We start from the raw sequence: 25692 nt of genomic DNA, 5'->3' as shown, positions 1-25692 counted from the left end.
AAGTAAATTGTAATAGGATATGGGGACCACAAAATGGTCAGACCTTTTCAGGACATTTAAAATCTCCTTTCTAGTACTGTCATTTATTAAATCATAAAATAACAGAGGACCCATTTTATCCCAGACTCTATTATGGGGAGTAGATTGCAAAAATGGCCATAATTCTGTATCTACATGCTTTGTAATTTGTAGCTTGTTGCATCAAGAAATAGAGTATATCTTCTTACTCCTTAAATCTGGATTCGCCTTGAGACTGACTTCTTTGTACTATACTGCACAAGTAATGATGTGTGAGCTTCAATTACCCTGCCACTGCCCTGTGAGCCAACCCAGGATAGCTGCTGACAGACACATGACCCAGGCACACTTACTGCTCCAAATGCCACCCATCAGCCAAATATGAGTGAGGCCATGCTAGACCAATCAGTTCCCCACTGACCTAACAGCTGACCACAGATGCAAGAGCAAGCCAAGCCCAGAATGACCCAGATTATCAGAATGACTTTTGAGTAATATTAATGCTTATTATTTTCAGTTCTTGAGTTCTGAGGTGGTTTGGATTTAGCAGTAGCTAATACAAGAGGACATAAAGAACTAAACCTAGTCCCTACCCACAAGGACTGCACAATGACAACCTATTGAAGTTTAAAATCTTCAACAGATCAACCTCTGATCTTAATAGAATGTAGAGTCCTAACAGAGGGCAGGCTTGACATTTTTCACATGTCTCTCTGGTGCCATCCTCCTCTCTTCTCTATCTTGATCTCTGCTCCAGGAGGCTGACCTCTATGTACTATGTGAATGGGTTCTTTTGCCTACTGGTTGGGCTTGGTCACTGGAGAACAGTAGCAGATAAGGAGAATGAGGCTGGGATATTCATCCCCTTGGGTCACTCTCTGCATGGCCGTATTTCATTGGTTGAATCACTCTAAGGTCACCCTTTCCACCGGACTTTCCTTAACAATTTCCAGTAACTACTCACTCTCCTCCCTTTCAGGCCACTCTACTATCTCCTATGGTTTTTCCAACATCCTGCACACACTTTTGTAAATGTCTTTATAAATACCTTGTATTTTTGTAATTTGAATGTGTCATCTGTTCCCTGCTACGACACTGACTGATATATTACCCAACCAGGAAAATAGCTGGGGAGTCTGGGAGTTCGGGTATGCCAAAAATAATATCATAAAAAGAAACTTTAGTTGTTGATATGGTTTGGATCTGTGTCCCCACTCAAATCTGATGTTCAATTGAAATCTCCAATGTTGGAGGTTGGGCCTGGTGGAAGGTAAATGGATCATGGGGACAGTTTCTCATGGTTTAGCACCACCCCACTAGTGCTGTTCTTGTGGCAGTTCTCACAAGATCTGGTTGTTTTTAGTGTGTGGTACCCCCTCCTACCCACTCCCCCGTCCCTACTCTTCCCCCTGCTCTAGGCTCCAGCCATGTGAATTCCTGCTCTGGCTTTGCCTACCACAGTAAAAGCTCCCTGAGGCCTCCCCAGCCATGATCCTGTGTAGTCTGTGGAACTGTAAGCAATTAAATCTCTTTATAAATTATCCAGTCTCAGGTATTTCTTTATAGCAATTCAAGAATGGACCAATACGGTTGTGTATAAAAGTATTGGCTGGCTGTGGTGGCTCATGCCTGTAATCTTAACACCCTGTGAGGCCACTCGCTTTATGTCAGGCGTTCGAGACCAGCCTGGCCAAGATGGTGAAACCCAGTCTCTGCACAAAACTTAGCTGGGCGTGGTGCCACATGCTTGTAATCCCAGCTACTCAGGAGGCTGAGGAGGATCACTTGAACCCAGGAGGCAGAGGTTATAACGAGCTAAGATCACACCACTGCACTCCAGCCTGGGCAAGAGTGAGACTCCATCTCAAAAAAAAAAAAAAAAAAAAAAAAAGTGTTTCCCTTTTACTTGCATGCCCCAAACTTCAGCTTACTCTGGTCTAGTGGGTGTAGACAATAAACCATGTAGCTGTAGATCCATGTGGTCAGTCTCCTACTTTTTTCACTGATTATTGCCTGGAAGGAACCATGAGGCACAGAGGTAGAAACTCGCTCTTCTAATGCTCTTGTAAATGGGCCTAAGATGGAAGTGATGTTGGCATCTTGCTGCTTACAGCATTCTCCCAGTCACTGCAGGTCCCAACCTTCTGTATCTGGAAAGACTGGGTGCAGCCAACTCAATGGGAAAGCAGAACAGAGAAGCTACAGGAACCAGCTCTCAGCCACCAGGAATTAAACCTGTCCTCAGTTCTTGTGGTTTCCGTTTTTTCAGAATGGCTTTTTCTATCTCCAGTCAATGCCCTCTAAGCAAATGACACCATCCTTTTCCCATAGTGCTTGGAACAATCCTTTTATGGTTCCTGTGCAAATGCAGCCAATACATCTCATTTTCTCTACAGCCTGAAGTAAGCCAGAGACTAAGTAATCAAAAATTACACTAAAATACTTAAGAGAAGCCCCTGAGAAAATAGGGTATTATTTGATCCTTAGCACAAATGTGCTACAATTTAACCCATGACAAACAGGCCCATACAACAATTTCCCATAGACAATATAAACAGGAAAGGCAGATCCTATGGAAAAGAGGAAAATAAGCCTTCCTCTTACAAGGAATATCCTAAGATTCCAAAGAGATTTGAACCTCAAAAGTGTTTCATATTCTGGGCACGGTGGCTCATGCCAGTAATCTCAGTACTATGGGAGGCTGTGGCAGGTGGATTGCTTGAGCTCAGGAGTCTGAGACCAGCATGGGTAACATGGTGAAACCATGTCTCTATGAAAAATACAAAAGGTAGCCAAGCGAGGTGGTGCACACCTGTAGTCCCAGCTACTGGGGAGGATGAGGTGGGAGGACGGCTTGAGCCTGGGAGGCAGAGGTTGCAGTGAGCTGAGACCACACCACTGCACTCTAGCCTGGACGACAGAGCCAGACCCTAACTCAAAAAATAAAAATAAAAAATAAAACAAATCAGGTGTGTATGCACATACACACACACAAAATGACTTCAAAGTATTTTCAAAGATCTTATTGACGCTCCTTGGGCCAAAAACAGAAAGGCTTCCTTGGCCTGAACCCTGTTGTCTCCCTTCCCCTGACATCGTAACTCATGCTTTTGCCATAGGCAGTTTCCCTCCTGATTCCTTCTCCTTTGGCCTGATAGCACCCTCTAACACCCACCAACACCCACCCACCACCCCATCTTTGAAAAACAGCATTATGTCCAAAGTGTTATTCGTCTTTCCAAGATCTACAGTTCCTGAACCTATAAGTGTTCTAGATCCAAATTTAACTAATTTGTTCTGTTTGAGAGGAAAACTACTATATCCATCTTACAGATGAAAAGATTAGGCGGCACGGTGGCTCATGCCTGTAATCCCCACACTTTGGGAGGCCGAAGCGGGTGGATCACCTGAAGCCAGGGGTTCAAGACCAGACTGGCCAACATGGCCAGAGAAACCCCATCTCTACTAAAAATTAGCCGGGCGTGGTGGCATACACCTGTAATCCCAGCTACTTGGGAGGCTGAGGAAGGAGAATCGCTTGAATTCAGGAGGCAGAAGTTGCAGTGAGCCCAAGATCATGACACTGCACTCCAGCCTGGCGACAGAGCAAGACTCTATCTCGGGGGAAAAAAAAAAAAGATTGAAGTTCAGGAGAGGATTAAATAATTCCTCCAAGGTCACACAACTAGTATAGCAGAACAACCAAATAACTCCTGCTTGACTCTAGAATCCACATTATTATTATTTTTTTTTTTTTTGGTTAAGACGGAGTCTTGCTCTGTCGCCCAGGCTGCAGTGCAGTCTCAGCTCATACCATTGTCCTGCCTCAGCCTCCACATTCTTAACCATTATGCTGGAGACAGTTCTTGTCCTTTCCAACTGTTGTTTATGTTCCTGAATAAATTTGAGAAACATTTTGCACAGCTCTGGGGTTAAAAAGAAAAATTAGCATTCTGATTGGAATTGGCATGTATATATACATAATTACTTCAGGAGGAAATAACACTTTCACCAGTTTTCTAACTCAAAGAGTTTATAATTAAGCTTAATTAAGCATACTGTTTCCCCCCTGCTATAGTGGGACTTAAGGATGGTGATCATGTCCTGTCCATACTGCAGGGAGTGGTCAACAAAGGCTGGTTTAATGAACAGTCTCTACCCTCAACTAAGCCCCTGCTTCATTAAGTGAACCCATAAAAATACCTGTGGGTCTTTGTGTCAACCATACCACCCACTCTCCCGACACTACTCTGCTCTCAAGGGCCCTGACATACAGGGTTGATTGTGGCATGACATTAACTTGACCCTCAACTTATCTTGATGTACCCCAAAGCATATAAACAATGTTTCCATTCCCTGTTGATGAATTCTGACCTGAAGTGCTATCAACAAAATGGCTTTTAGTTTCCCAGAGGAAGACAGCCAACAGTAAAAACGTTGTACAGATTGCTTGGTTCTAGTTGCTTACATTCCCAAGTTGATGTATTTTTTCCAATCTTAAACAGATCCTCCCCAAACCCCTTCAGTCCCAGTTCTCCACCTCACCTGTTGCTGACAAAACAAAGCTCAAGCTTCCCCATGTCTCAACTTCATACCCAAAAGAAAACTTGGAATTAGACGTGATTCTGTATTGGCTAATCTGTACATTTATCACAGCCACCCGCCTAGTTAGGATACAATGAAATGGCCTGGTGAAAAACACAAGCCTAACTTACTTTTTATATCACAACACAATGTTCAATTAGATGACTTAGAGTCAAAGGCTCAGAAAACCACTGTGAAAACAAGCCAGGGGATGAAGTTGCTTAAATAACAAAACGAAGGTGGGCCATCTTTAGCATGGGAAGAGGCAGGTAAGGAATACTGAGCCCATAAAATAGAAGGCAGACTGGTACAGCAGAAAATCACAGATAGGAGCCAGAAATCTAATCTTCAGCCCTATCTACATCACCTGCCTCCCTATCATCTTGGGAAAATCACTATTTCCTTAGGTATAAAAATATTTATCTCAGCACTTTCACTGGTCTGTAAACTGTCCCCCGCCCTTTCCTCTTTTAACTGTCATAAAAAAGCAATACATGGCTGGGTGAGGTGGCTTACAGAATCCCAGCACTTTGGGAGGCCAAGGCAGACGTTATCAGTTGAGCCTGGGAGTTTGAGACCAGCCTGGTCAACATGGCGAAAGCCCATCTCTACTAAAAATAAAAAATACAAAAACTAGCTGAGCTTTGTGGCATAAGCCTGTAATCCCAGCTACTTCGGAGGCTGAGGCACGAGAACTGCTTGAACCCGGGAGGTAGAGGCTGCAGTGAACTGAGATCATGCCACTGCACTTCAGCCTGGGTGACAGACACTCTCTCAGAAAACAAACAAAAAGCAGTACTTCACTGATTATAAAAACCGAAGTTTTCCATGCCTAATCATGTAACATAGCAGCTTTGTAAGACTCCAAATTAATAATCCAAACACCCAGCATATACTCCATTCTACTACCAAGAATTATACAGGAAACTGAAGCAGAGAGGTTAAGTCACTTAACCCAAGTCACCCAACTATCTAGGCAGTTTGGCTAAGTTGGTGTTCTTAACCGCAGCATTAGACCATCTAATGCTCATTCAATTCCCTATGCTTACATGAAATCCTGGTCACTCACCTGGAGATCCTATGGAGAATTCTCCAGGAGATTCACCTGGAGAGCTGTGTCATTCCTATGAAGCCTGAAAATCCTGACTTGTCACTCCTGGTCCTACCCCTACTGACCCACAGTACTTGCTTCACATTACAAAATCAGTAGGAGTACCATTTTGTGACACAAATGAGATCCACAGATGAGTTACTGCTATGGATCTAGCAAATGCCTGACCCAGTGAAGTATTCTCCTGGGGTAGCGATGTTTCTGCCAGAGGCAATGCAGGAGGTACAGGTGAAGGGAGACATCCGTGCAAAGGCCAGTAATGAGCAAAAAAACAAGTTATAGAAGATAGGGGTCAGACCAAGTGAAATAAAGGTTTTTACTCTGTCCTAAAGATGAAGTAAATCCACATTCTTATCGAATTAAATTTGCATCCTTAAAGGACTACTGACTCTGGGATAGATAAAAGACATACCAATTAGGAGGACTGAGAAGTCCATACCACAGATGGTTGAGGAGTTAGACTAAATTGGCAGTGAATTAAGTGCATAAAAGTGTCAAAGGCAGGCCTAAAATAACTCGAATTCTCCAAGGCAATTCATTTTTTTGTTACTACAACCATCTGTCAATCTGAAATCAATCCTACGAATCCTTACGTGCAAACTAAAAACTGGAGAATTGCAGACGTTTGCAACATTTAATGTGAAATTAGTTTCATACTGTTTCCTGAAGATGCTGATGGTGTAGGTCAAATGAAACATCATAGAAGAGGCAGTATATGTATATCCTTTAGTATATCTTTTACCTTCAGAAACTTTTTTTTGGAGACAGAGTGTTGTCCTGGCTAAATAAAGTGCAGTGGCACGATCCTGGCCCACTGCAACCTCCGCCTCGTAGGTTCAAGTGATTCTTGTGCCTGAGCCTCCAAAGTAGCTGGGATTACAGGCATGTGCCACCATACCAAGCTATTTTTTGTATTTTTCGTCGAGACGGGTTTTTGCTATGTTGGCCACACTGGTCTCAATCTCCTGGCCTCAAGTAATCCACCTGCCTCAGCCACCCAAAGTGCTGGGATTTCAGGCGTGAGTCACCGCACCCAGCCTAGACACATTATAAAAATATTAAATGCAAGGCTGGGCGTGGTGGCTCACACCTGTAATCCCAGCACTCTGGAAGGCCAAGGCAGGTGGATCGCTTGAGGTCAGTTCAAGAACAGCCTGGCCAATGTGGTGAAAACTCCATCTCTACTCAAAATACAAAAATTAGCCAGGTATGGTGGTGCGTGCCTGTAATCCCAGCTACTCAGGAGGCTGAGGCAGGAGAATCGCTTGAACCTAAGAAGTGGAGGTTGAAGTGGGCCAAGACTGGTATACTGCACTCCAGCCTGGGTAACAGAGACTCCGCCTCAAAAACAAACAAAAAAACTAACTGTAATTTAAAAACTAAAGTTTACAGTTGGCTCCAATGTATCTCAAAGTCAAACTGGCAGGAGCAGACTTATAAAAAGCTAACACTCATATCTAACTTGGAAGACTTATATTCTTATGCTGCATTTTACCATTTGACTACTAAAAAAGACACTGAATTACAATAATCCATCTTGGCATGCTTTTCCAATACAACAGTATTTACACAATGCAAACATCAGAATGTCTAATAAAGTTAACAAGCCAAGGCAATTTTGTTACATAAATTAACCCATTTATTATAGGCCAGTGATGTCTCAAAGAGTAGAGGAGCGTCTACTGGTCTTTCAACTCCTTCAGTCTTCTGATGGCGGACTTTACCGTGACAGCGGAAGTGGTACTGGAAAGAAAGATTCAGTTTCCAACATAATTAAGCATGTTAACATAGAAAATGGCAAATAAGTAAATCTGCCTCGTTTTTGTGTTAAAGTCGCTTCCCAAATTTTCCTAGAAAGAATTATACTGAGATAGACTGCTCTACCAATACTTTGCTGCAGTCAATCCAAAGATCTAACCAACATTAGATTACTCCTCGGAAATTAGTGGCTTCTAAACTACATGATGGCATCCTTTAAGAGCCATGCCTTCAGGATCTTGCAGAATTAGACATACAATCTCATGCATCTGATTTCTCAACCAGAGTTGCTTTTTTTTTTATAAGTAACTCAGTTGTGGACAAGCAAGCTTTAACTCCCCCTACCCCATCCCATGAAAAAGAAATGGTTCTAAGAGGCTGACCTAAACTTATTAAAAGGGAATGGACAGATTACAAGAAATGAATAAATTACAAGATGATACAGTGAGAACAATGATTAAGGAAATAAGAGCGGACACTAAAGTGCCTTTGGGAAAGACAGCTATTGAAATGACTACAAAAGTTTTACCATAAAATTCAGGAACTATACCTGAAAATCACCATCCTGTATTGTAAGTATATAAATAATTCACTTTCCTATCAGAACCAAGAAAGCACTCTAGTTCCCATTTTCCATTCTGCCCTAATAAAAACCCCCACAAGGAATATATATATATTTCAACATTTTCCACTGCTTCGGTTTAAGTTTAAATTGACTGAAACTTTAAAATCCAATTCTTTAATTACACTAGCCATATATGTGCTTAGTGTATTGGACAACACAGGTCTAGATGCTAGTTTGTAGTATAGTGTTTGTAGTATCGCCCTGTCAGGTGATACTGAGTTGCAGATTCACAAACCTGCAGCAGTCTAATACTGTTCAGAAAGACGAAACTGTGGTGGTCCTGATGGCCTCAAGTTCCAAATACAGTTTTGAACTAACTGACCCCTTCACCTATTTTTATCAAAACTTGCAGTGCAAATCAACGTTCAGTAGATTCAGCCCCACTAATGGACCTGCACAGTATCATGACAATGTTCACAACAATGTGCCCAGTGACCATCAAATTCTAAAGTAGTCTGTGAATTAGATTTCCGACTTCTATTTTGGTAGTTTTGTGTTTACTCTTTCAATAACTGAAAATAAACCACCACGGAAGAATCCTGAAAATACAAAGGCATCCTTATTCTCTCAGTCCTGAGAAAGTGTTAAAACTAGCCCATCCAGCAGCAACCTGGAATTTGGGCCTATGTGGTCCACACACTTCCAAATACCACAAGGAACTAGACTCACTTGTACGTCCAGGCACCGCCAGCCACTGTCTTCATGCAGGAACCACAGTGCCAGATCCCCACAGCTCGTCTCTTCATCTTGGTCTATAAAAGAGAACCAATTTTCACTATGAACCAAGTAAGTATTTTCTCTTACAAGCATCCAGAAGTCTAAATTTGGATTCACCTTATTGTCAGGGATGTGAAAGCCTCCCTTTCTCCCTCAAAAACAAAACAGGGATTGCTGTAATGCAGTATTTTGCACATAAACGTTCAAACCTTTATCAAACAAAAATCCCTCGCAGAACAAGTAGAATGGTATTAGATGCACAGACATCTTGGGAGTTGGTGCAGAAACATCAGTAGACAAAACTGATGGAATCATTTCCCACAAAGCAGGTTTGGCTTAGGCTGGGGGCACTCTGTCAAATGATTATTTTACCCATTAACGTTTAAGCGGTTTTCTTTAAATGAAAAACGTCTCACAAAATCTGAAGTTACCATCAACACTTTTATCTTAAAACTCATAATCAACGGTATGAGTAATTCCAACTGCCCACCAGCACACGGCTTATAAAATACCTTGAAGTCAGGCCTCACTTGGGTAAGAAACCTGCCCTCCCTCTCCTCTCACCAGAGACTTTGCCTTACTTACTTTGCCACAGAAAGAGCAAGTGTACTTGGCGTGCTGGCTGATTTCAATTTTCTTCACCATTTTCCGGAGGGAGGCCCCATAGCGGGTCCCGTATTTACCGACGATCCCGACTTTCTTGGTACGTTTGGCCTGTTTAGAGTGAAGGGAGAAACCAGTGATAGACCTGGAACCCAGGCAGGCCCTGGAGCCTCCACACACCGTTCCTCCACCTCACTGACGTGTGACCGACATGTGAATTACATATGACCTAGTTTTCCCTAAATTCAACCCAACGAAACCAGTGCCCAGGGCTGGCCGCGCGCTCCGAAGGCCCGGCGTTAACCCGGCTGGAGCGCGCCAGGCCCAGCCAAGGCGCCCCCGCCCCTCCGCCTTGGGGAGCTTCCGACAATGGTGTCTCCTGCAAAGGCATGGAGACAGGAGAGAACACGGGGTAAGGCAGGAGAGGAGATGGGTGCGGGAGAAGAAAACAAGGACAGATGCAGGCAGATAGAGTTCTAGGCCGCACAGAGACCCACACTCACCATGTCGCCGCGACCTAGGTCCGAGCCCAGAAAGGAAGAGACGCGGTGCGCAGGCGCGGTATTAGGCGGACGAGCGGAAGTGGCTGGTAGAGGCCTAGCTAGGAACTGAGCTCTATGGTTTGGGCGTTTTCAGGCGGCCTCCTGAGAAATGTTTGCAATTGTAAGGCGTCTCTCTCATCCAGGTTTACCCAGATTCGCAAACTATGGCGACAAACAACCATAGCAGAAGCATGTCCGGATTATTTCACATATATCACAAAATCCTGCAAAGGTACGAGTTCCTCCATTCGATGCACAGCACTTGGCTTGGAGAAGTGCATAAATCTTACATTTGTGGGGCCGGGCGCGGTGGCTCACGCTTGTGATTCTAACACTTTGGGAGGCGGGGTGGGTCAGGAGTTCGAGACCAGCCTGGCCAGCAGGGTGAAACCCCGTCTCTATTCCAAATCTCATTTATTTCCCCCTCTGCATTATGCTCTCTAAAAGTGGCTGACTGTGCAGGATGCTAGCGACAGTGGTGACTAAAATCCAAGGTTCCATTCCCAGAACAAGTTGCAGGCCAGCTGCAAACGATCATATAGCCACATTAAGAAGTTAGACAGTTTCAAACTGGTCAGAGTTCTGAAGGAAAGGACGATGGTTCTGCTCGCGACTAATTCAGAAGAGCCTGGTGTTTCCTGAGGAAAGTCTGAGATTGGAAGGCTGGGGAAAAGTTAACAGTCACCTTGGAGTTTTGTGTTCCAGCTGCTGCATCTCAGTGCGGATGGCCTGCCTTCCACTTCATTTCAGAACTCACTTCCATGGCCCCACACTAGGCTGTTAAGACAGCTTCCTGGTCCAGGCCTGAACCCTTAAACTCCAACATCTTACCCTTTACCCACCGTCAATTCTCTGTCCCTCCAGGTCTCTCAAAGGGGTCAGCAGGGAAGAATTGGATTTCTGGTTGAGGCCGGGGGTGGGGAGGGTGTGTTCTGGAACTAGACACATGATCTTCTTTCTTCACGTAGAACACACACACTAGGAAGTTTGGTTGCCTTTTTTCAGGGGATGGCTAATCCAGAGAATAAGAAGCTCAGAAAACTACTGGAATAAGAGTGTAAGAGAGAATCCATGATTAGAGGGCCAAGAAAGACCATGGGAGCTGAAAGGCATTGTGTGGCCCTGATTCCAATCAGAAGTCCGGTAACAAGTAGCTTCCGTTCCCAAAGCTTAATATTAACTGTCTCAAATAATTTTGCACCTGTTCACTTTTCCTCACAATTGTATTAAAGTCAACTTGCATACCTGGGCTGAGGTGGGAAGATCATTTGAGCCTGGGAGGTTGAGGCTGCAGTAAGCTGTCATCACGCCACTGCAGTCCAGCCTGGACAACAGAGTGAGACTCTGTCTCAAAAAATATATATGAATCAAATCAAATCAAAGCAACTTGCAAACAGCTATGTACTTCATATGGTTACAATTGTTGGAGGGTAACACATGGTAGGCACTGAGTATTTTATGTGGATGTTCTCATTTAATTTTCCATTATCCTTTATGATAGGAATGATTATTATCTTCATTACTAAGAAAAAGAGAGGAAGTCTCATGTAATGATTAGGAACTTAGAGGCTCTGGATTCAGTATGGGTTCAAAACAGAACTCTGCTATTTACCAGCTGTGGGACCTCTGACAAGTTATTATATACTTTTCTTTCTTTTTTCTTTTTCTTTTTTTTTTTTTTTTTTTTTTTTTTTTGAGACAGAGTCTCTCTTGGAAAAGATTCTTTGAGACCAGGAGTTCTAGGCAGCCTGGACAATATAGCGAGACCCCATCTCCACACACACAAAAAAATAATAGGCCAGGTATGGTGACACACATCTGTGGTTCTAGCTGCTCAAAAGGCTGAAACGTGAGGATTGCTTGAGCCCAGGAGTTCAGAGGTTACAGTGAGCTATGATCACACCATTTCACTCCAACCTGGACAACAGAGTGAGATCCTTTCTCAAAACAAAAACAAAAAAAGAAAGAAAAAAGAAACTCATCTCAGGGAAGTTAAGAAACTTGCTCAATGTCACACAGCAATTAGAACTCAAATCTGGTCTGTCTGATCCCAAAGTTAGTTCTCCTAATTGCTAGCTTGTACTACGCCAAATCATAATATTTAGTGCACTGAAAAAGCACATCAGAAAACATAGTTGAATTAAAATCAGGTCCCTGGCACTCAGTCTGGGCCAGGATCTGTAACTACCTTGTGGTTTGACTTTAGGTAAGCCACAGTCCCCACATGGAGAACCACCTCCCCACCTCCCAGCAGCCACCATCTTTATTTACAAGGAGCTGGACCAGGTGGTCTTCAAGGTCCTGTCCAGTTCTTCCCTCCTATGATTCCAGGAAGAGCTTCCAGACTTTGAGTGCCACTGGGGCAGTGACCCACCATGTGCTTTATGTCAGCACATCTTGCACAATTTTGTGGAATAAAGGTAGTTGTCTCTTTATCCTCCCCAATCTGTTATTCCAGCTCTGGCTGTGTAAATTCAAGGAGGAGAAAAAGCAAAAAGTAGTGGATAGTGGGAATAGTCAAATTGATTTTTGCATACATTTTTTGCATTTTCTAATTATCTTTTATAATGAGCATGTGTTTCTTTTATAATCTAAAAAAACTACCATTAAAAAAAAAACCCCAAACATCTCCAGTAACGACGAGTATACCTACTGCCCCAGATCTCAGGGTTTGTTTTTATTTGTTTTGTTTTGTTTTGAGACAGGGTCTTGCTCTGTTCCCCAGGCTGGTGTGCAGTGGTGTGATCACAGCTCACTATAGCCTTGACCTCCCCAGGCTCAAGCAGTCCTTTCACCACAGTCTCCTGAGTAGTGCCCAAATAATTTTTTTATTTTTGTAGAGACAGTCTTGCCATGTTGCCCAGGCTGGTCTGGAACTCCTGGGTTCAAGCAATCCTCCAGCCTCAGTCTTCCAGAGTGCTGGCATTTCAGGCATGAGCCACCATGCCCAGACCCCAGATCTTGGTTTATAATATCATTCTTTAATAAAAGGAACCAGGGCCCCTTAGAGAAGTGACTCATTCTAGGACTGCAGCAGGAAATATACAAGGCGAGCCTGCAGTATCTTGTGCCAGAAAGTAAGGAAATGTTCAGAAAACCCTACACTGATGGGGATATGTCAGAGAGACACAGGAGTCAACTGAAAGAACTCCGAATGGCCAAAGCTAGAAAATTTTGAGCAATAAATAAGGTAGTATTGATTTAACCCAAGTGTAAAATAAATATCCATGGGTCCATGTGGATATAAATAAATGATAGACTAAATAAATGAAAGACAAGAGGCAACTCTCTTTTGCAGAAGAATTTATTTTTTCTTTTTTTGAGACCGAGTCTTGCTCTGTCGCCCAGGCTGGAGTGCAGTGGTATGATCTGGGCGCACTGCAACCTCTGCCTCCTGGGTTCAAGCAAGTCTCCTGCCTCAGCCTGCTGAGCAGCTGGGACTACAGGCATGCACCACCACACCCAGCTAATTTTTGTATTTTTAGTAGAGACGGGGCTTCACCATAACGGCCAGGCTGGTCTTGAACTCCTGACCTCGTGATCCACCCTCCTCGACCTCCCAAAGTGCTGGGATTACAGGTGTGAGCCACTGCACCCGGCCAAGAAGAATTTCAAATAATTTATGTGGATATTCTGCTCTCAAGGAGGGTGAGCATAACTCCCCACTCCCTAAGTGTGGGCTGCACAGAATGACTTCCTTCCAAAGAGCACAGTATAGAAAGGGGAAAAAAGAGTAACTTTATAGCCAACACGACCTCAGCCAAGGTGATGAAGGTCAACATCAACAGTGATAATCTTGTTACTATGTCCCCTTGATGTGGAATGAAAATGGCACTTTGCCTCTGTGATCTTTCTCCCAAAACCCATAACCTCAGTCTAATCATGAGAACAATAGACAAATTCCAAAAGAGGGACATCCTTCAATATACCTGACCAGGGCTCCTTAAAACTGTCAAACCAGGAAAGCCTGAGTAACTGTCACAGCCAAGAGGAGCGTAAGGTGACATGATGACTAAATGTAACATGAAATCTTAGAACAAAAAAAAGACAATACGTTAAAAACTAGGAAGATCCGAATAAACTACAGACTTTAGGTCATAATAATGTATTAATCTTGCTTTATGAATTGTAACCAATTTACCATACTAATGTTAAGATGTTGCCGGGCGCGGTGGGTCACGCCTGTAATCCCAGCACTTTGAGAAGCTGAGGCAGGCAGATCTCGAGGTCAGGAGATTGAGACCATCCTGGCTAACACAGTGAAACCCTATCTCTACTAAAAATACAAAAAATTAGCCAGGCATGGTGGCACATGCCTATAATCCCAGCTACTCGGGAGGCTGAGGCAGGAGAATTGCTTGAACCTGGGAGGTGGAGGTGGAGTGAGTTGAGATCGTGCCACTGCACTCCAGCCTGGGCGACAGAGCAAGACTTCATCTCAAAAAAAAAAAAAAAAAAAAAAAAGTTAACAATAGAGAAAATTGGGTAAGGGTATACAAAAATACTCTCTCCTCAATTTTTTTATATAACTATAAAACTGTTCTACAAAATAAAGTCTATTTTAAAACAACCACCACCACCACCCAAGGAGGTCACCACAAGTCAATTCCATGAGGACAGGGCTTGTGTTGTTCACCTCTGCATCCCAGGACCTATACAAGAGCCTGACGTGTCAGCAGTAATGTCTGTTGAATGGGGGATTGTTACCTTGCATGGTATAATGGTGATGGGTATATGAAGCGTTTCATGTGTTTGGGTTTCTCTGCTTTGTAAAGTCAGTCCAGTTATGTCAGAACTGAAAAAGGCTTTAGAGATAATGTAGCCCAAACTGGAAACTGAGGCCCGGGGGGTCAAATGACTTGCCCAAGGTCACATAGCCATTAAGTGACACATAAACGTGTGTTCGCTCCACTGTATCACATGATTCAAGTCTCTAAGTCTCTTTCCGCAGCTGCAAAATGAGTATACTGTACAATAAAGGGTCTCAGGAAGATAAAATAACTTCCATGAAGTGTCTAGTGAACATTTTAAAATAGTGGCCAGTATGTTTGTTGAGATGCTGCTGCTGCTGCTGCTGCTACCTGATTTCAACATCTCTTTCTGCCTTTTCAATCCTCTCTCCTCTTCTGCCATACTCAAGGAAGTACAGAAGATCTGCCTTCTTCTTTCCCTTAAAAATATGCCCATCTCTTTTCTCCTTAATTTCTTTAGCTTGGACACAATGAAACCACTACAGTCATGGTAACTGATGCCGCTTGAGGCCCACAAAGGGAGTGAGATGTGCCCAAGATGTTTCTCTTCCACCACAGGCCTCATGCACCCTCTGCCCCCATAGGTTAGGGTGGAAGATGGCAAGGGGCCAAGGGAACAAGTCCCTCTTCCCTCAGAAGGGAAATGCACTGCATTTCAGGGATGTTATCTGGAAAGCTCTCCACCCAAGCAATGCCTGCCTCCAGAAAACTATAAATTAAAACAAAAATATATCCATGTTGATACAAACAAAGGAGACTAGTGGAAGGAGTCTTAAACAAATGCTCACCATGATCCTCCCTTTTCAGACTGTGCCTCTTGGCCACACAGGATGGTGCTCAATTGAGCTGGGGAGTGGGTGAGTCAGCTTCATGCTGGGGCAGTCCAGGCAGAGCTGAGGTGAGCCATCCTGGGCTGGCACTAGAGCCTAATTCAGATCATCATTTAGCAAATGTGCTGCCTCCCCCACGCCCTCCGCTGCAGAGCCTCCTACGTCTCTGGCCTTCAGGGGGGTCTGAGAGAGAGAGCAAGAGAAGAGGGAATGCATGAGTAGGAATGCAGTAAGCGGCTGAAAATGAGACACTCCATAATAGGAGGAAATTGTTCATGTTCAGAGCAATTTTGTCAAAACTGAACAATTATCTTTAAATAGCAAGCTTGAGGATGTACAAATAGCACTCATGAAATCAGCTCTGAGTGACTTCAGAGAATCGGCCCTCTCCTAAAGTCTCAATTTGTCTTTTCTGTGGGCTCATAAATTTCCATCCCTATTAGAGTACCATCCGGTGTGGAGAATGTTAACTATAATGTGTCCCCATAAAAGACTCAGTAAAAATCACTGCTGGCTCACCTCTGCTCTTAAGGAGCCCTCAACATTCACTCTTTGCCTTTAGAAAAATAAATAAGTTAAAAGTCACCTCCAGAGAGGAGTTCTTGTAGCTGTTAACCAGTTCTCTTGGGGCATATGGAACATTTTATTCTTGAAAGAAATCTGAGGTGCAAGCATCATTCCAAATTCATCTTGTGCTGGAGACAGAAAGGGTTTATTGGGGCGTGGTTCCTTCACTTCATGCCTCAAGAGAGCCTGCTCTCCACAAAGCCCCTGGGGGCCACAGACAAGAGTGGGGCCTGCACAGCATTGTTGAGAGTCCCGTGAGGCCAGAGCCACAGGCAAGAGCTGACCCAGCAGGAAAGGTGAGGCCCTCCAAGGCAGTCCTGGATGCCCCGAAAGAATAAGAGTGTGGGAAATTGACTCAGGCAACCCCTCTTTCCTTTCCTCCTTCTCCCCTCAAATTCCATTTAAACTCGTTCTAGTTATTAATGGACCCGTCACAGAGCATTTACACAGGAAGTGCACACATAAAGACTGGAGTAGTTACTTGGCAACTCTTAAGTGGGATAAGGTATGTTAAAAGGAAAACTTTCAACAAATTAAATTTAACAGAGTTTAATTAAGCAAAGAATGATTTGTGAATTGGACAGCCCCCACAACCAGAAGAGGTCCGGAGCAGCTCCAGGGTTGCCACATGGTTGGTTCACATTTATGGACAGAACAAAGAAAGTAACATACAGAAAAGGGAAGTGAGGACAGAAAGAGCTGGATTGGTTGCATATTTGCCTTATTTGAACACAGTGTGAACGGTTGGCCACCTGTGATTGGCTGACATATGGCTGCGGTAATTGCCTGAGACTTGGCTACTTGTTACAAGAGTGGGTCCCAGTCTGTTTACCAATCTAGTTAGGTTATAGTTCACTCTGCACAGAGAAACCTTTAGGCGGACTTTAAAATATGTAACAAGGCAGCACTGGGTTAAGCTTAATTTAACGAGTAGCAGGAGGCGGAGGTTGCAATGAGCTGAGATCGCACCATTGCACTCAAGCCTGGGCGACAGAGACAGACTCTGTCTCAATAAATAAATAAATAAATAAATAAATCATAATTTAATGGGTAGATCAATATGAAACAATGGCCAAGTACATCATGTGAAGTGAGTCATTTTCAGTATGAAGAATTTGATACAGTTTTTGTAAAAACAGATTCTATGTGTATTTTACATATATTTGTATGCATAGAGATAAATTACAAATGGCTTTATCTCAAATTATTTAGTTATTACTTCTAGGAGGTAGGGCTGAGGGAGGGAGGGAGGAGAATGCAGGACTCTTATTTTTGAGCTTATACTTTTCTAGATGAATTTTTTTTTTTAGACAGAGTCTCTGTCTGTTGCCCAGGTTGGAGTACAGTGTCACGATCTCGGCTCACTGCAACCTCCGCCTCCCGGGTTCAAGCAATTCTCCTGCCTCAGCCTCCTGAGTAGCTGGGATTACAGGCGCCCGTCACCATGCCCAGCTAATTTTTTTGCATGTTTAGTAGAGATGGGTTTTCACCATGTTGGCCAGGCTGGTCTCAAACTCCTGACCTCAGTTCATCTGCCGCCTTGGCCTCCCAAAGTGCTGGGATTACAGGCGTGAGCCACTGCGCCCAGCCTTAGATGTATTTTTACATCCAGTTCATAATATTGGAAAGAAGGCACTGCAGAGCAGTAGGTGGAAGGACCGTCTTTTCCATAAGTGGTGCCGAGCTAACTGCATATTCATATGGAAAAAATTAACCTTGGCCTTACCTCACCCCATATACAAAAATAAACTGCAGGTGGATTGTAGATCTAAACATTAACGGCAAAACACAAAAGCTTCTGCAACATACTATTTTCTTTTTCTTTTTTTCTTTCTTTCTTTCTTTTTTTTTTTTTTGAGACGGAGTCTTGCTCTGTTGCCCAGGCAGTCTCGCCCTGTCGCCCAGGCTAGAGTGCAGTGGCACGATCTCGGCTCACTGCAACCTCTGCCTCCCGGGTTCAAGTGATTCTTCTGCCTCAGCCTCCCAAGTAGCTGGGACTATAGGCATGCACCACCACACCCAGCTAATTTTTGTATTTTTTTTTTTTTTTAGTGGAGATGGGGTTTCACCGTGTTGGTCAGGTTGGTCTCGAACTCCCGACCTCAGGTGATCCACTTGCCTCGGCCTCCCAAAGTGCTGGGATTACAGGCGTGAGCCACCACACCCGGCCTCACAACATACTATTTTCATAACCTTGGGGTCATGGTTACATGGATGTGTATTTTAAAATATTTTGTTAAACTAAATTGTTTTATGAACTGTTCTGTATATTATATTTTGCCCCCAAAAAAAGGAGTTAAAAAAGAGAAAAAGAGCCTCAAAATCTGTTGAATAGGGGGTGGGAGAGAAATGTGTGCAGAGGATCTTGCAAAATCAGATAACTGTTGATTGTCATAATGCCCAAAAGACTGTGACTCACAGGCTTCTTAATGCTTTCTGCTATGGTCAGGAATTCATTTCCTTCACTGAGACTGCACAGGAAAACACAAAACCAAAACAAAACACAGGTAGAAGAGACTTCTCCAATTAACCCTCTTTAAACTTCCGAGCCACTTTTTATGTTGATAATTCTGAACTTGGTGAGAAGTGGGAGGATGGAGTAAATATAAGGTTGGACTTCATTCTCTCCCCTTTGCAAAAAAGAGGATAGAACTTCAAAAAGCGTTGAGGTTCTAACAGACGAGAACGAACAGACAAGACAACACCTCAGAGCCAGTGGTGTGGGGATGACACCTCCTGCTCAATTTCTCAGCTCTCCCACTGATCTAGAAAAAGGCTCCTCTGAAGCCAAGAAGGAAAAAGACATGATTAATTCAAGCACAAGTGGATCAAGACTAACAGGATTCTTTGCTGCCTCTTAGAGGTTTCCTTGATGCCAGCCCTAGAGGCAGAAATCAACCAGGATCACTCAGGAAACAAGATACCACTTAGTGACCCTGGTGAGGGAAGGCAGAGACCAGCTCCATGGGCCAGAGGGGACTTCTAGTAAAATCCTGTAAGGGTACAATTGATGGCAGGGACAAGAGTGGGAGGAGATGGGCCTAGATTTTCTTCATTTCAGTTGACGCTTCCAGAAAACACAGTTCTGGGGGTCTGGACTGTGCTGTGAAATGAAGGAGGAAAAGGAGTTAGTGTGGAAATATTAATACCACTTTAAACCCAGTGGTATTCACTCTCTATATAAATAAGTCCAAGTGTCTTTTGCTGAATTATACAGAACTGGTTAGGTGACTCTTAACAAATTTCAGAGTACATATGGGATGGTCTAACTTAAAATAGGCTACATGGTATAAATAAAATTTGCTTTGGAGGACCTCAGGGACATCTCAAAGAGAGAGTTCGTTTTTCTCCAGAACAGCTAAAACTGAGGTTCAACTAGAGGCCTCAGATGGAGGCCATATTTACTAAGACTACAGACAAATAATGGTTTTAAATATGAGCACCAGGCGGGGTGTGGTGGCTCACGCCTGTAATCCCAGCACTTTGGGAGGCCGAGGTGGGTGGATCACCTAGGGTTAGGACTTCAAAACCACCCTGGCCAACATGGTGAAACCCCATCTCTACCAAAAATACAAAAATTAGCCAGACGTGGTGGCGGGTGCCTGTAATCCCAGCTACTCGGGAGGCTGAGGCAGGAGAATTCCTTGAACCCAGGGGGTGGAGATTGCACTGAGCCAAGATTGCCCCACTGCACTCCAGCCTGGGTGACAGAGTGAGATTCTGCCTCAAATAAATAAATAAATAAGAGCACCAAATTGCAAGGAACGAGAGCAAGGCCTCCCATTGGCAGCCACTAACCTGACTTCTTGCAGTATCATGAGGGCCATTCTGTGCTGCAGGTCCTGGGGTGAATACGACAGGAATTTAGTAATTTAATGATGATCAGTGATTCTCCATAGCAACACTGGGTATGAATGTCTCTAAAATCACCTGTACATTCACTTTTATTTTCAAAGCATAACCATTGTATTACACCCCATATACCCATTGTATCCTAACCACCTTCCTAGAGGAGAAACTGTTAATGGAAATAGAGAATGAGATCCTAAGAGATCCAAGTCCATAGAGCCCACAGAAAAGCTGCACCAAAACTCTGGTGGGGGCTGAGTGAATAGCAGACAGGTGGAAGCATCTTGGGAGATGTCCACAGGGCCCGGGTGAGGGCTCCTTCATGTTTCTCAAGTCATGTGATTCAGATACACAGAGCAGAGGCTTTGGATGGGCACTGGGGCAGGTGAGGAAGAAATATTCCTTCCTGAAGTTCTCTCAAGATCTGCCTGTGATCCAAAATCCTTTCTGCTTCCTGGGCCTTGACTTATTCCAAAGATTTTTCCCTAATGAAGTGACTGTGTTGTTTCGATTGACAAGACCCCTAAGACTGCAAAAATCCATGCAAACAACATGTGGGCAAAATTTATGTACAATTTTAGCATTTCTTTTCATACAGGGTCTGTCCCCATTGGATCACCTCCCATCACGCCACACACGACGTGAATGACTTCGTGCTTCTCCATACCTGCATTGATCTCTGGGTCCATTGCCAGTTATAAACCTCCAAGGGCAATAGCCATGAGGTGATGTACAGTCAAGCATCACTTAATAACCAGGATACATTCTGAGAAATTTGTCGTTAGGCAATTTTTTCATTGCACGAACCTCACAGAGTGTACTTACACTAACCTAGATAGTAGCATCCAGTAAACACCTGGGCTATATGGTCTAGCCTATTGCTCCTAGGCTACAAACCTGTATAGCATGTTACTGTACTGAATATGTAGGCACTTGTAACACAATGGTAAGTGTTTTTGTATCTAAACATATCTAAACATAGGAGAGGTAATGCATTGTGCTACAGCATTACAATGGCTATGACAGACACTAGGCAATAGGAATTTTCCAGCTCCATTATAATCTTAAGGGACCACCATGGCACATGCAGCCCATTGTTGACCAAAAGTTGTTATGTGGTGAATGACTATAATTGGCTTTTCAGAGCAACCACTCACAAGGGGGTGTAGTATAGCTTACTAGACAAAACTGCAGCCGCTGCTCTGTTTTTTGCTCTTAGAAAACTGAGTACCTGATTTGGACAAAATCATAATAAAATTTAGATAGAGCCAACATTTGTCCTCTGGAAGTTTCTGACAAGATACAAGTCACCGTTATAATAGTCAAATGTCAAAGTGGTATATCTAACAAAATTAAAACAGACAGCTAGGAGTGAGAAGATTTAAGAAAATTCAGGTGGCCCAAAGGAAAGCCAAGACAAGACATTCTCTCCCGGCCTTTGGGCCTGGATTTTCATTTCAGCAGGTAACGAGGAGACCAAAGGCCTAGTTATTTATGGAGATCTGGGGCCACAGCAGAGCTCCTCATGGCAGGATAAGGCAGTGGAAAGCAGACTCAACGGTTAACCCACAGTCCTCCTCAGCAAGCTGGGAGAAGCAACTGATGCCACTTAGATGCTTAGACCGGGCCTTCTGGGAGAGATCTGGCCCAAGGAGCAGCCGGCAGCTTGACACAGTGACCAATTGGAAGCACAGCAGCCACACGCCATGAAACAAGGTGATCATCTTCACTCATTTCCTGAGGCCAGAGCCTTCCTTACGCAGGACATGGATACCCCAGTCCCAGCTGTGCTGAAGCGTCAGGAAGCCTCCCCCGACCCCACCCTGAACAACAGTGAGGGGGGTTAGGTGTCCTCAAAAGATCTACTCTGTCAACTGGAGTTGTTGAGAAACTCAGGAAAGGGAACTAAAAAGGATAAGAAAGTGGTGCATTCCAGTGTCTTCCTGTTCTCTGTTGCAGAGAGCCAGCTGGTGGACCGCAGAGACAGACTTCCAGCCAGGGCCAAGCCCTTCAGGAAGGGAGTCATGCACCAAACTCAGCTAACAGACCACCAGGGCACCACTGGGTCTCCTGCTGGGGAACAGCACACCTATGGGTGGGCTCTAGGGGTGGGGTGGCCTGGTTGCTGGTTCTGCTCTGCCACTTCTTAGCTGGACTTGAGCAATTTGTAACATTTCTTGGCTCAGTTTCTCCACCTGCACAATCAAAATATCACTACCTTCCTCCAAGATTGCATTAAGTGTGACAATTTATGTAAAGCACTTAGTCCAGTGCCTGGCACCTAGTAAGTACTGAATAGTGAAAACAATTTAAGTCTAACAAATCCACACACCATGACGTCAGACAAATTAGGCATCTTTCATTGCTGTTGTGAAAATTGCGCTAACTCTAAACTCTAACGTACATCTGGCTCACTGTCTTTCTGTAAGACCAGTCAGAGCAGCAGCTCCTTCCTTGGTAAAATACTTTAAAAAACTCCCATTCCTGGCTGGGCACCGGGGCTCACGCCTGTAATCCCAGTAGATTGGGAGGCTGAGGCGGGTGAATCACTTGAGGTCAGGAGTTCGAGACTAGCCTGGCCAACATGGTGAAACCCCATCTCTACTAAAAATACAAAATTAGCTGAGGGTGGTGGCAGACACCTGTAATCCCAGCTACTCTGGAGGCTGAGGCAGAAGAATCGCCTGGAGGCGGAGGATGCCATGAGCCGAGATCGTGCCACTGCACTCCAGCCTGTGCAACAGAGTGAGACTCTGTCTCAAAAAGCAAACAAACAAGAAACCCCAAAAACTCCCATTCCTGGGCACCCATTCTGATTTTCTTCCTCATTTACTTCCCTGCCCAATCGTTGTCTCTATGTTGCAATTTGTGGGGGTCAGTCAGAACTGCTTTTCTTCAGAAGCCACTCTTACCCGTTCAGTGACCTCATTCAGCTCATGCTAGGGCAGAATCCACAGCTCTTTCTCTGACGTTTCCACAGTGTGAAGACTCACACATCTAACTGCCTGCAGAACATCTCCACTTGGATCTTGTTAGATTGTGTGGGTTTCCCAGAAACAGACACCAAGACAGAGTTTGGGGCACAAGATAATCTATTAGGGATTAACACCTGTGAAAGGAAGGGGCTGGAGGCCTATTTGGCAGGGGGAAGAGGTGAACTGTGATATAGGCCTGTGGGAACCTTAGACAATCCAGCAGGGAGCAGGGGGAAGGGAGCAGGGAGCTCTGCAGCGAATACTGCCCAGGACATAGTTCCTGGGCTATATGGCCTAGCCTATTGCTCCTAGGCTACAAACCTGTATAGCATGTTACTGTACTGAATATGCAGGCACTTGTAACACAATGTTAAGTATTTCATCAGAGGTGCCCCGCATCAGGCCAAAGTGGCCCAGCCTTTGTGCCCCGACTTGCTCAGTCATGGATGCAAGCTGCCTTAAGAAGGGTGTGACCTCAGACAAAGTGGCTTTCTGCAGGCCAGTTGTGGCCAGGTGGAAGCCATCTACCAACTTCACTCCCCACAGCTGAGCAAGTCCCTCCTTGAAGGGGATCTGGGTGGGGTGTCTCCAAGTTTGCTAGATTATCTCCCAGCCATTTCAAATTCAACAAGTCCATAACCAAACCCTTGATTTTACCTGGCTCCCCAGTGTCCCCTTCCCACTCTTTCTTCTCTTACCACTTTGCTCAGGCCAAAACCAAAGTCCCAGCCTCTCTTCCACAAATGCCCCTTGGTCAATCTATCTACACATATCCTTCCATCGCTCCCTTCAGAATACGTCCAGAACCCAACCACTTCTCATCTCCTCCATGGTTCGACCCATACTCAGCCACACCCCAGCACCAACCCCACGGATAATCGCAGTAGCTCCATAGCTTCCTACCTAAGCGTTACCCCTGCCCACTTTTCTTGCTCTATTTTCTGCACATGCATTGGCGTGAAATATTTTTTATTTTATTTTATTAAATAGAGACAGGGTGTTGCTATGTTGGGCCTGATTATATTTTTAAAAAATAAAAAAGGGCCAGGTGCAGTGGCTCACACCTGTAGTCCCAGCACTTTGGGAGGCCAAGGCAGTAGGATCACTTGAGGCCAGGAATTTGAGACCAGTCTGGGCAACATAATGAGATGCTGTGTCTCTGTTTAAAAGATACATATAAGTTTAAAAAATATTTTCATTTATATACAATCAGATCGCCTCATATGTCTGCTCAAAGCCATTTGGTGGCTCCCATTCATACTCAGAATTAAACCCAGATTCCTTACTGTGGCCTATCAGCCCTGCATCATTCTGTCCCTCTCCTCAACATGATCAACTATTGCTCTTCCCCACATGACATCCTACTCCCTCATCACTCTCTAAACCAGAGCTGCCCAATACAGGAGCCACCAGTCTCATATGGCTACTGAGCAGGTGAAACCTGTGGCTAGTCCAAATTGAGATGCTGCCTGTATCAAATACATTGTTTCAGACTTAGTTCAGAAAAGAGAATGTAAAATTTCTTTTCTGTTTTTTTGAGACAATCTTCCTCTGTTGCCCAGGCTGGATTGCAGTGGCACGATCTTGGCTCACTGCAACCTCCGCCTCCTAGGTTCAAGTGATTCTTATGCCTCAGCCTCCTGAGTAACTGGGATTATAGGCATGTGCCACCACACCTGGCTAATTTTTGTATTTTTAGTAGAAATGGGGTTTCTCCATGTTGGTCAGGCTGCTCTCGAACTCCTTACCTCAAGTGATCCACTCACCTTGGCCTCTCAAAGTGCTGGGATTACAGGCATGAGCCACTGTGCCCAGTCCAAGAATCTAAAATTTCCCATTAATAATTTTTAAATATTGTTTGTAAATTGAAATAATATATTTAATATATTGGGTTAAATGCATTATTAATCTTTTCTTTTTTTTTTTTGAGACGGAGTTTCGCTCTTGGCTGGAGTGCAATGTCGCAATCTGGGCTCACCACAACCTCCACCTCCCGGGTTCAAGTGATTCTCCTGCCTCAGCCTCCCAAGTAGCTGGGATTACAGGCATGCACCACCATACCAGACTAATTTTGTAATTTTAGTAGAAACGGGGTTTTTCCATGTTGGTCAGGCTGGTCCTGAACTCCCGACCTCGGGTGATCCTCCCACCTCAGCCTCCCTATATTATTAATCTTAAGTCTAAATGTTCTATTAGAAAAGTTACAATCACATATGCAGCTTGCATTACATTGCTAATGGAACACGCTGCTCTAAACCAGGGATTGGCAAACTATGGGCAGTGGACAACTTCCAGCCCACTGTCTGTTTCTGTACAGCTGGTAAACAAGGAATGGTTTTCACATTTTTAAATGGCAGAAAAAAAATAATTTGTGATACGTGAACATTAATAAAATTCAAATTTCAGTGTCCATGAAGAGTTATATTGGAAAAGAGAACCTACAACCATTGCCTCTCCCGCTGCGTAAGTTCGGCAAAGGCTCACGCTTTTGTCTTTTGTTGGATGAATGACTACCAACACCTAGGACAGTGCCTGCACAAATTAGGTGCCCTATAAATATTTGTTGAGTCACTAAATTTTAAAATTCTAGATTATGGGGACTGTGTAGGAAGGACCTCATTCTTTAGAGAACATGAATTACCCACTACTACAACTCGCTGTGTCCATCCCTAAGCCAGAAGAGCGGAGGTTAAGACCCCAAGCAAGCCCACACGTAATGACACAGGAATGGAAAGCTGATGCTCGGCCTGGTCTCCTGCTGA

The 25692-nt window shown here is 44.2% G+C and overlaps 1 protein-coding gene and 1 long non-coding RNA gene across 3 annotated transcripts, besides 4 other annotated features; one reads left to right on the top strand and one right to left on the bottom strand.

The window, feature by feature from the left end:
* Nucleotides 1-4710: 4710 nt before the first annotated feature.
* Nucleotides 4711-9953, bottom strand: RPL37A (ribosomal protein L37a). Its single transcript, NM_000998.5, has 4 exons — nt 9920-9953; nt 9399-9527; nt 8766-8848; nt 4711-7456 (listed from the first exon to the last, which is right to left on the bottom strand). Exons 1-4 carry the CDS (start codon nt 9920-9922, stop codon nt 7393-7395), a joined length of 279 nt encoding a protein of 92 aa, NP_000989.1. The 5' UTR covers nt 9923-9953; the 3' UTR covers nt 4711-7392.
* Nucleotides 9877-10266: an enhancer, noted in NCBI's record as "active region_17100". NCBI's record gives its function as "activates an Ori minimal core promoter by ATAC-STARR-seq in GM12878 lymphoblastoid cells {active_cell/tissue: GM12878}" and the evidence as "EXISTENCE:reporter gene assay evidence [ECO:0000049][PMID:35858748]".
* On the top strand, nt 10045-25340 carry RPL37A-DT (RPL37A divergent transcript). 2 transcript variants are annotated; one of them, NR_183316.1, is made up of 4 exons: nt 10045-10190; nt 20554-20680; nt 21420-21671; nt 24861-25340. It is a non-coding gene; the product is annotated as an RPL37A divergent transcript (long non-coding RNA). The 2 variants fall into 2 exon arrangements; NR_183317.1 differs by having other exon boundaries at nt 21417-21671.
* Nucleotides 10447-10536: an enhancer, noted in NCBI's record as "active region_17099". NCBI's record gives its function as "activates an Ori minimal core promoter by ATAC-STARR-seq in GM12878 lymphoblastoid cells {active_cell/tissue: GM12878}" and the evidence as "EXISTENCE:reporter gene assay evidence [ECO:0000049][PMID:35858748]".
* Nucleotides 12639-12708: a silencer, noted in NCBI's record as "silent region_12305". NCBI's record gives its function as "represses an Ori minimal core promoter by ATAC-STARR-seq in GM12878 lymphoblastoid cells {active_cell/tissue: GM12878}" and the evidence as "EXISTENCE:reporter gene assay evidence [ECO:0000049][PMID:35858748]".
* Nucleotides 16171-16230: an enhancer, noted in NCBI's record as "active region_17098". NCBI's record gives its function as "activates an Ori minimal core promoter by ATAC-STARR-seq in GM12878 lymphoblastoid cells {active_cell/tissue: GM12878}" and the evidence as "EXISTENCE:reporter gene assay evidence [ECO:0000049][PMID:35858748]".

Source organism: Homo sapiens, chromosome 2, assembly GCF_000001405.40.
Source record: "Homo sapiens chromosome 2, GRCh38.p14 Primary Assembly".
Classification (NCBI taxonomy): domain Eukaryota; kingdom Metazoa; phylum Chordata; class Mammalia; order Primates; family Hominidae; genus Homo; species Homo sapiens.
The sequence above is the reverse complement of the archived record's forward strand: the minus strand, read 5'-3'. Positions and strand labels throughout refer to the sequence as shown.